This window comes from Homo sapiens, chromosome 7 (assembly GCF_000001405.40).
Source record: "Homo sapiens chromosome 7, GRCh38.p14 Primary Assembly".
NCBI classification, from domain to species: Eukaryota; Metazoa; Chordata; class Mammalia; order Primates; family Hominidae; genus Homo; species Homo sapiens.
The window spans coordinates 63,698,413-63,709,427 of NC_000007.14; the positions used below are offsets into that span (position 1 = coordinate 63,698,413).

Genomic DNA, 11,015 nt, shown 5'->3' on the forward strand with positions numbered 1-11,015 from the left:
AGCCACTGCACCTGGCACCTGTGACCAATATTATTTCTAAGATCTAGAATGCATTTATTACTGAAACAATGCTGACATACACTGCACCTAAAAAGGAAGAACTAGACATTCATTAAAGCTAGGAAAAAGCAGAATTCAGTGTGCTCAAGAACTGCTCCCATGGACAGGTACAATGGCTCATGCCTGTACTCCCAGCACTTTGGGAGGCTGAGGCGGGAGTATTCCTTGAGGCTGAGTTCAAGATCAGCCTGGGCAACACAGCAAGACCCCATATCTTTTTTATTTTTTAGACATGGTCTCACCTTGTCATCCAGGTTGGCGTGCAGTGGTATGATCTTGACTCACTACAGTCTGCAGGCCTCCTAGGCTCAAGTGATCCTCCCACCTCAGCCTCCCTAGTAGGAGGGACAACAGGTGTGTGTCACCACATCTTGCTAACCATCTCTATTAAAAAAAAAAGTGGCCAAGCACAGTGGTTCACACCTGTAATCCCAGCACTTTCGGAGGCTGAGGTGGGAGGACCGCCTGAGGTCGAGAGTTTGAGACTAGCCTGGCTAACATGGTAAAACCCCGTCTCCAGTAAAAATACAAAAATTAGATGTGTGTGGTGGCAGGCGCCTGTAGTCTCAGCTACTCGGGAGGCTGAGGCAGGAGAATCACTTGAACACAGGAGGTGGAGGTTGCATGAGCCGAGATCGTGCCACCGCACTGCAGCCTCGGCAACAGAGTGAGACTTTCTCTCCAAAAATGACTAAACTAGGAGTCACACAGCCTGAGAGCAGGCTTCTACTGATCAGCTCTGGGCAAATCACCTATCTGTGCCTGTATTTATTCATCCACAATCCCCAAAAGCTCAGAGGAAGTTGAGGGAAAGTGTAAATCTCTAGATAAGGGCAGGACATGTCTGCTGCAGCCTTGAATCTGGGACTCCCCGTGGGGTGAGGGGCCCCCTGAGGCCATCTGTCCTTTGCACTCCCAGGGGCATTAGCAGTATGGTCAGGTGCTGCATCCACAAGCCCACGAGCCAGGAGCATGCTGTGAAGGTCATCGACGTCACCAGTGGAAGCAGCTTCACCCCCGAGGAGGTGCAGGAGCTGCAAGAAGCCACACTGAAGGAGGTTGACATCCTGCACAAGGTCTCAGGGCACCTCAACATCAGTGAGTGAGGGTCCCAAGCTCCACGGTGGGGTGACCCCTGTGATTCTGCCCTGACATGACAGCCCAAGCCAGGGAATGTGGCCCCACCACACAGCCAGTTAGAACCACCCAGGCTCAAGGCTCCCAGCTGTAGCCTCACTGCTTTGACAGAAGGGGTCCCAGGCAGGGATGGTTGCAGGTGAGGGGATGGGGGTTTGATGTCCCTGGGCTGAATGAGCCAGGCGTGCTGGTGCATGCCTGTAATCCCAGCCACTCAGAAGGCTGAGGCAGGAGCATCACTGGAGCCCAGTAGTTTGAGGCTGCAGTGAGCTATGATTGCACTATTGCACTCCAGTGTGGGTGAGACCGTGAGACCTTGTCTCTAAAAATAATAACAATAATAATAATAAAGTTGCTTGAGGCTGAGTTCAAGATCAGCCTGGGCAACATAGTGAGACCCCATATCTTTTTTATTTTTTAGACACGGTCTCACCCTGTCATCCATGTCAGCATGCAGTGGTATGATCTTGACTCACTACACTCTCTGCCTCCTAGGCTCAAGTGATCTTCCCACCTCAGCCTCCCTAGTAGGAGGGACAACAGGTGTGTGCCACCACATCTTGCTAACCATCTCTACTAAAAAAAAAAAAAAAGTGGCCAAGCACAGTGGCTCACACCTGTAATCCTGGGCCTGCCCACACCCCGGGTTGACATCCTTTGAGCACCCTCCTGATTCCCGTGTCAGCTTTTGAAGTTAGCTGACAGCAGCCTCGGTCCCTGACCCCCGTGCCCCAGCTGCCCCTGCCCGGGCTCCCCTGCCACTTGAGATGAGCTAGCCATTTCCATTTCAGTACAGCTGAGGGACACTTATGAGACCAACAGTTTCTTCTTCCTGGGAGACTGAGGTGGGCAGATCACCTGAGGTCAGGAGTTCAACACCAGCCTGGCCAACATGGCGAAACCCTGTCTTTACTAAAAATACAAAAAATTAGCTGGGCATGGTTGCAGGCGCCTATAATTCCAGCTACTTGGGAGACTGAGGCAGGAGAATCGCTTGAACCTGGGAGGTGGAGGTTGCAGAGAGCCGAGATTGCACCACTGCACTCAAGCCTGGGGCATACTTTAGTCCCAGCTACTCGGGAGGGTAGTGTGTGAGGATAGCTTGAGCCCAGGAGGTTGAGGCAGCAGTAGCGGCAGTAAGCTATGATTGTTGCACTGCACTGCAGCCTGGGTAACAGAGCAAGACCCCGATCTCTACAAAGAAGCCTTTTTTTTTTTTTTTATGAGCTGGAGTCTTGCCATGTCTCCCAGGTTGGAGTGCAGTGACGCGATCTCTGCTCACTGCAACCTCTGCCTTCCAGGTTCAAGCAAATCTGCCTCAGCCTCTGAAGCAGCTGGGACTACAAGCATGTGCCAGCCACCATGTCCAGCTAATTTTTGTATTTTTAGTAGAGATAGGGTTTCACCATGTTGGCCAGGCTGGGCTCAAAATCCTGGCCTCAAGTGATCTGTCTGCCTCAGCCTCCCACAGTGCTGGGATTATAGGTGTGAGGCACCATGCCTGGCCTCAATTCACAAACGTTTATTTGGAACATTCACTGTAGGCCAGTGTGGTGCCAGGAGATGTAAGGGTGAGTAAGAAACAGTTCCAGGCCCCAAGAACAACCCCTGGGTCAGGAGGGCTGACAGCTTCTTTGTGTTCCACTCTCAGAGCCACCCAGAGTTCCCTTGCTGAGGATCTGAGCATGACCCGGGATGAGGCACTGCCGGACTCTCATTCCGCACAGGACTTCCATGACAATTATTAGCCCAACGAGATCCTGGGCAGGTAAGGCCCAAGCTTTCCCCATGAAGTGCTGTCCTAGGCTCTAGCAGGCCCTGTAGGCTATAGCCACCTCTGCAGCACACCAAGTACTGACCCCACTTTCATTCCCAAAGTGCTGTCCACTTGAAGAAACCCTTGGTTTGGGGTCCTGCCCTCCTGAAGCCAGGACAGATAAGAGAAACCACTCCCAGCAAAAAGTTCCCAGGGGTAGGTGCAACAGCTCATGCCGGTACTCCCAGCACTTTGGGAGGCTGAGGCAGGAGGATTGCTTGAGGCTGAGTTCAAGATCAGCCTAGGCAACATAGCAAGACCCCATATCTTTTCTATTTTTTAAACAGGGTCTCACCCTGTCATCCAGGTTGACATGCATTGGTATGATCTTGACTCACTACAGTCTCTGCCTCCTAGGCTCAAGTGATCCTCCCACCTCAGCCTCCCTAGTAGGAGGGACAACAGGTTTGTGCCACCACATCTGGCTAAACATCTCTATTTTGAAAAAAAAAAAAAAAAAAAAAAAGCAGCCAAGCACAGTGGCTCACACCTGTAATCCCAGCACTTGGGAGGCTGAGGCAGGAGGACCACCTGAGGTCAAGAGTTTGAGACCAGCCTGGCTAACATAGTGAAACCCCATCTCCAATAAAAATACAAAAATTAGATGTCTGTGATGGCAGGCACCTGTAGCCCCAGCTATTTGGGAGGCTGAGGCAGGAGAATCAGTTGAACCCAGGAGGTGGAGGTTGCAGTGAGCCGAGATTGTGAGACTTTCTCTCCAAAAAAAAAAAGAGTACTAATCTAGGAGTCACACGGCCTGAGAGCAGGCTTGTTACTCATCAGCTCTGGGTAGATCACCTGTCTGTGCCTCTATTTATTCATCCATCATCCCCAAAGCTCAGAGGACGATGGGGTAAATTGTAATTCTTATGGCCGCTGGCCCATGTATGCGCACTCCAGGAAGACCCAGAAGCCCCGCCTTCACTTCCGATTGGCTGCGTATGAGAGTCGGTCCTCTGTGACGCCATAGGGGCGCGCCTTCATTGACGTCTCAGAGGCGCCCATTCGAAAAGTCCTATGAGCTGGTCTTTCGCGACGTCACAGGGGCGGTATAGTGCCTGGAGATGGTCAGTCTTCTGACAGTGGAGCCTGGTAACCGCCACCTCCTCTCCAGGTCCTCTGTATTGCTGGCAGCAGAAAGGTAGTTGATAAACTCCCACCCAGCACAGTGTGTATGTCCATCAAAAATAGGAAACTGTGTCCGGTGGCGGCCGAAGCCGGAGGATCCTTTCAGGCCAAGGGCAGCCTGTTAACCTGGCGCGACCCCATCTCTTTAGTCTCACCTCAGCTTCCCAGCTACTTGAACTCCCAAGGTTCAAGGCTCCAATGAGCTGTGATCCCACCACAGCACTCCAGCCTTCGAGACTGAGGTAACCCCTGTCTAAAAAAGTAAAAAAGGAAACTACCCAAGTGTGCAACAGGGAGGGACTGCTTAAGGAAAACATGAGGCTGGTTGGGCCCAGTTATCCCAGCACTTTGGGAGGCCGAGGCGGGAGGATGGCTTGGGCTCGGGAGTTCGAGACCCGCCTGGGCAGCAGGATGAAACCCCGTCCCTACAAAAGGTACAAAAATTAGCTGGGCGTGGTGCACGCCTAGCCTAATTTTTGTATTTTTTGTAGAGATGGGGGTCTTGCTATGTTGCCCAGGCCGGTTTCAAACTCCTGGGTTCACTGATATTCTCACTTTGGCCTTCAGACTTGCAGGGATTACAGGCATGAGCCACCGTGCCCCACCTGGGTTATGCTATTTAATAAAGTAAGAAAGTGTTTGGCCCTGCATGGTGGCTCACGCCTGTAATCTCAGCACAGTGGGAGGCCAAGGTGGGTGGATCACCTGAGGTCAGGAGTTCGAGACTAGCCTGGCCAACATGGAGAAACTCAGTCTCTACAAAAAATAACAAAAATTAGCCGGGTGTGGTGGCACATGCCTGTAGTCCCAGGTGCTCGGGAGGCTGATACTGGAGAATCACTTGAACTGGGAAGTGGAGGTTGCCGTGAGCCGAGATCACACCAAGCACCCCAGCCTGGGTGACACATCGAGACTCTAAAGTTTGAGACCAGCCCAGGCAATGTAGTGAAACCCTTTCTGTACAAAAAACAAAACAAAACAAAACAAAAAGCCATGTGTAACTGTTCACCTGTGGCCGCAGCTACTTAGGAGGCTAAGGCAGGAGGATCACTTGCGGCCAGGAGCTCAAGGCTGCAGTGAGCTATAATCATCCTGCTGCTCTCCATCCTGAGCAATAGAATGAAACCATTTCTCTAGATAGCTAGCTAGCTAGATAATTGATACGTAGTTTTCTTTTCTTTTTTTTTTTTTTTTTGAGACAGAGTCTTGTTCTGTCACATAGGATGGGATGCAGTCGTGCGATCTTGGCTCACCTGCTCACTGCAACCTCTGCCTTCTGGGTTCAAGCAATTCTCCTGCCTGTCTGAGTAGCCGGGAATTACAGGCACACGCCACCATGCCTGGCTAATTTTTTATATTTTTAGTAGAGATGGGGTTTCACTGTGTTGGTCAGGCTGGTCTTGAACTCCTGACCTCGTCATCCACCCGCCTCAGCCTCCCAAAGTGCTGGGATTACAGGCGTGAGCCACGGCGCCCAGCTGATTATGTAGTTTTCTATCAAATTTTTTTCCTAGATTTGAACATGTTTTTCTAAAGTAGCATTCAACACATCAGCATTTTACAGTGTTATTAGTTGTTAATATGATTTTGTTTTTCTGAAATACAGTATCCTTTACAAAAAGTTTTGTCTTTCAAAGCACATAGATAGGTCCTCAAATGAATTTGTCTGATGTTGATTACCTTGGTACCATTTTGTCCACTTGATTGAAACAGTTAGTTGGTAATTTCAGGTCACTATTGGCCTTAGAGGAAGAGCCCAAAGGCAACAAGCAAGGGCACTGGTGTCCAGTTGCCTTCTAGAAGCATTTTCACCTTCCCTTAAGGTTTCCCTTGATGAATATAGAAGTACTGTATGTAGAATTGACCCAGTGCTGCCCTGGCAACTTTGTAGATTAGGCCAAATTTACATTTCTTACCTTTATGAGAGGCACCCTGGTAGGCTAGTGGAGTTACACACGAAGTCTGATCTCAGCCGCACCGTCCAGAAATGCAACATGGTCGAATTGAATAACATTCTCTGAGCCAGTTTCTTTAGCTGTAAAATAAGAATAACAAGTATACTCATCTAAAAAGACAGCTTATTGTATCTGAGTGGTCTTCTATTTTCTACGAAACTGTCTTTAACACAGTAATTATTTTCATTGCCATACCACATTTTTTGTTTTATTTATTTATTTTGAGATGGAATCTGGTTTTGTTTTTGTTTTTGTTTGTGACGGAGTCTCACTGTTGTCACTTAGGCTGGAGTGCAGTAGCATGATCTCGGCTCATTGCAACCACTGCCTCCCAGGTTCAGGTGATTCTCCTGTCTCAGCCTCCTGAGATGCTGGGATTACAGGTGGCCACCATCACACCTGGCTAATTTATTTATTTATTTATTTATTTTAGTAGAGATGGGATTACATCATGTTGCCCGGGCTGGTCTCAAACTCCTGACCTCAAGTGATCCACCCACCTCGGCCTCCCAAAGTGCTGGGATTATAGGCATGAGCCACTGAGCCCAGCTCATTTTTAGAAAAGGATTGCTTGGCCAGTCTCAGTGGCTCGCACCTGTAATCCCAGCACTTTGGAAGGCAGAGGTGGGTGGATCAGCTGAGGTCAGGAGCTCCAGACCAGCCTGACCAACATGGAGAAACCCTGACTCTACTAAAAATGCAAAATTAGCCAGGTGTGGTGGTGCATGCCTGTAATCCCAGCTACTTGGGCCCAGTAATTGAACCCCTCAGACCTGAGGATGAGAAAGCTTGCCTCAGTTCTTCCCCAGGTGATCAGCCCAGGGGTAAGGAAGAAGAGGCCGGAAAAGAGGACCTATGAGAAGGGCCCCCTCCTGGAGTTTGAGGCCCACTCCCTCCTGCCCCAGCCTCTCCTCTGTCTAGGACTCCTCCCTGCTCTGCCCCACTCATGGAGCCATGGCCATGGGGGGGCTGCGTTTGAGTACAGGCCCCAGCAGCAGCCCTAAGCCAAAAGTGGGCAGGCTCACCTGCAGGGGATCAGAGTAACATGGCAGGAAGTAAGGGTGAAAGCCACCCTGGAACCGTGCCTCTCTGCCCCCTCATGTCACTCGGGTGCACTCCTCCCTCACCTCACTTAGGCAGCGGCATGAGTTCAATGGGAGTGATGTCCTGCTCCCTCTGCTGCCTCTTTTTAGTCTTGGGGCTACCATAACACTTTCCCTTCCCCAGCCCTGCCAACCTGGTGGGCCATTGGGCTTCCCTCTCCCAGGGTCCTGGGGACAGACCTGTCCTGTATCATACTCACAGAGAGACCCTTTTTTTTCTCCAGGGCTTGAGGATCAGCCAGATGTCATGAGTTAAATGCAGATCTGAATCATACCAAGCTGAGATTGGGGTACACACTCTCCTCTACTGAAAAGTAGTGACGGATTCCAACTTGGTGAGAGGGAGAGTGGGGCAGAACCAGACCAGACAAGGAGTGGTCACCTGGAAAAAGCCTGCCATCAAAGGCCTTGGTGAGTGCTGGGTGCGGTGGCTCACTCCTCAGCAGTTTGGGAGGCTGAGATAGGTGGATCACTTGAGGTGAGGAGGTTGAGTCCAGCCTGGGCAACATGGCAAAACCCCATCTCTGCTACAAATACAAAAATCAGCTAGACATGCTGTGCTCCTGTAATCCCAGCTACTCGGGAGGCTGAGGCAGGAGAATTGCTTGAACTGGGGAGGCAGAGGTCGAAGCGAGCTGAGATTGTGCCACTGCATTGCAGTCTGGGAGACGGAGTGAAACTGTGTCCCTCCATCAGAAAAAAAAAAAAAAGAAAATGGCCTTGGCAGAAGGACCGGCCTGGCAGTGCCTTCCCTTGAGTTTCTCCTGGGTAGGCCTCTGCCATGAGGAGGTGCTTCCTTCTTCCTCTCCATGGCCCACAGCAAAAGACTGTGTGCTTCTAAGGGGTTGGGTGGGGGACTATTGAAAGAACTGGAAACCTTCAGGTGGGGTTTTGTGTTGTTTTGTTTTGTTTTGTTTTCTTATTGTCGACATGGAGCCCCACTCTATCACCCAGGCTGGGGTGCAGTGGCACAATCTTGGCTCACTGCAACCTCCGCCCCACCCTGGGTTCAAACAGTTCCCATGTCTCAGCCTCCTATGTAGCTGAGATTATAGGCATGTGTTACCACCCCCAGCTAATTTTTGTAATTTTTAGAGACGAGGTTTCACCATGTTGGAAGGCTGGTCTTGAATTTCTGACCTCAAGTGATCCACCCACCTGAGCCTCACAAAGTGCTGGGATTACAGGCATGAGCCACCATGCCCAGCCCCTTCAGGTGGGTGTTGAGGCTTCAGTACAATACTAGTTTCCCGTGGCTACTGCAACAAATTACCACACACTAAATGTCAGTGCTTTTTATAAGGTGAAACAAATTATCTTGTGGGGCTTTTGTTGTGATGGTGATTTATTAGATTTTTTAGTTTAAAGACAGTAATGCTCAGGTGTTGTAAAATTATAAAAGCAATTCTCACATTTTATAAATTTTTTTTGAGACAAAGTTTCACACTTGTTGTTCAGGCTGGAGTTGCAATCTCAGCTCACCACAACCTCTGCCTCCTGGATTCAAGAAATTCTCCTGCCTCAGCCTCCCAAGTAGCTGGGACTACAGGGGTGCGTCACCACACCCAGGTAATTTTTGTACTTTAGTAGAGATGGGGTTTCACCATGTTGGCCAGGATGGTCTTAATCTCTTGACATTGTGATCTGCTGCCTTGGACTCCCAAAGTGCTGGGATTACAGCCACCCCTCAGCCCACATTTTATAACTTTAAAGCAGTATTAATGGTAATTGCCTTAGGGAAAGATGCTTTTGTTGTGATATATAAGTAAGATATTCAGGTATATTGTACGGCAAAGGACATTAAACCTAAGTCAGCAATAATGTGTTATATGGTACACTTAAAACTTTAGTACAAATATTCGTGTTTAGCAAATTGACCTTAACACATAATGATAGCAAAAAAATGGAGCTGTTCTGATGATAGACCATTGGTTTTGTCTGAATTTAATACTCTCCATGCTCTTGACTTTTTCTTTTTTTTTCTTTGAAACAGAGTCTTGCTCTGTCACCCAGGCTGGAGTGCAGTGGTGTGATCATAGCTCACTGCAGCCTCCACCACTCAGGTTCAAGTGATCCTCCCGTCACAGCCTCCCTAGTAGCTGGGACTACAGATGATTACCACCATGCCTGGCTAATTTTTGTATTTTTAGTAGAGATGGGGTTTCAACATTTTGGCCAGGCTGGTCTCAAACTCCTGACCTAAGGTGATTCACCTGCCTTGGTCTCTCAAAGTATTTGGGTTACAGGCATGAGCCACTGTGCCTGGCTACCTCTTGACTTTCTATAGCTGTTCTGTTATTTTAATCTTAAGTAAATAAATGTTAGCTGAAATGATACAGTTCAGGAGAATCTTCTGCTTCTGTTACTAAAAAAAATCATATTTATAAGTCTAACAAGGTTACACTAATGTATATGTTTGGAAAATATTACCTTTTCCGCAAGGCATGGTGGCTCATGCCTGTAATCCCAGCACTTTGGGAGGCTGAGGTGGACGGAGCTCCTGAGGTCAGGAGTTCAGGACCAGCCTGACCAATACGATGAAACCCCGTCTCTACAAAAATACATAAATTAGGTAGGCATGGTGTCAGGTGCCTATAGTCCCAGCTAGTCGGGAGGCTGAGACAGGAGAATTGCTTGGACCCGAGAGGCGGAGGTTGCAGTGAGCCGAGATCCTGCCACTGCACTCCATCCTGGGTGATAGAGCGAGACTCCGTCTCAAAAAAAAAAAAAAAAAAAAGTAAAAGAAAATATTACCTCTTTCATTTAGTGCTATATGTATTAAATAATATTAGCTGGTATGTTTTTCTGGCTTTATAATGTGGTTCAGACTTCTGTTGAAATTCTGGCTGTATCTACATTGCCTTAGAGTAATGGGATATTTCTTTCTTTTTTTTTTTTTCTCAGCTGGAGTTTCACTGTTGTCGCCCATGCTGGAGTGCAATGGTGTGTCCTGGCTCACTGCAATCTCTGCCTCTCAGGTTCAAGTGATTCTCCTAGGTCAGCCTCCTGAGTAGCTGGGATGACAGGCACCTGCCACAATGCCTGGATAATTTTTGTATGCTTAGTAGAGACGGGGTTTCACCTTGTTGGCCAGGCTGGTCTTGAATTCCTGACTTCCTGATCTGTCTGCCTCAGCCTTCCAAAGTGTTGGATTACAGGCATGAGCCACCATGACCAGCCTGTCTTTTTTTTTTTTCAAAGCCACCCTTGGTTATGAAATGTAAAATATGCACCAGTGAATATTACTTTGCTGAATATTGCCTAGTGAATATTAAGTATTTATTCTCACCTTTCAAACATGAACTTGCGAATTCAACATGTGAAGACTTACAACTTGATAAACCAGCTTCAGGTGGTAGGTCTTCAGTCTTAAGTCAGATTAGAAGATTATGTGAAATAATTATTTAATGCTTAACAATGATTTTTTTAACGGTACCTTTCACATGAAATAATATTCCTCTTACTTTTAATTATGTTCCAGGACAGGAGAATTCATGTTGTCAAAATTCTAATACTCTCTAGAACAATAAACTCATTTTCTTTTTATTAACCCATTATAAATACATGTAAGTATTGGGTTTATGGGTAGACAGAACTAAAAGAACAATATTTGTCCTACTTTTCAGATACAACATTTGTCTGACATTATGCACTGAACAGTTTATTATTGAAGTCTACACTAGCCAACTGAACAAGCATTCATCAAATGTCCACGATACCCAGGACATAAGAAAGTTCCTTTTAGAGCATGGAGCCATGCATATCATCTCTTAATTGTTAGATGTGTTTTGAAAGAAATAGAAATATAATTGATTT

The 11,015-nt window shown here is 47.9% G+C and overlaps 1 long non-coding RNA gene across 1 annotated transcript; it reads left to right on the forward strand.

The window, feature by feature from the left end:
- Positions 1 to 793: 793 nt before the first annotated feature.
- On the forward strand, positions 794 to 8,689 carry LOC105375313 (uncharacterized). Its single transcript, XR_927567.2, has 3 exons — positions 794 to 1,158; positions 2,849 to 2,965; positions 8,658 to 8,689. It is a non-coding gene; the product is annotated as an uncharacterized LOC105375313 (long non-coding RNA).
- Positions 8,690 to 11,015: the final 2,326 nt, after the last annotated feature.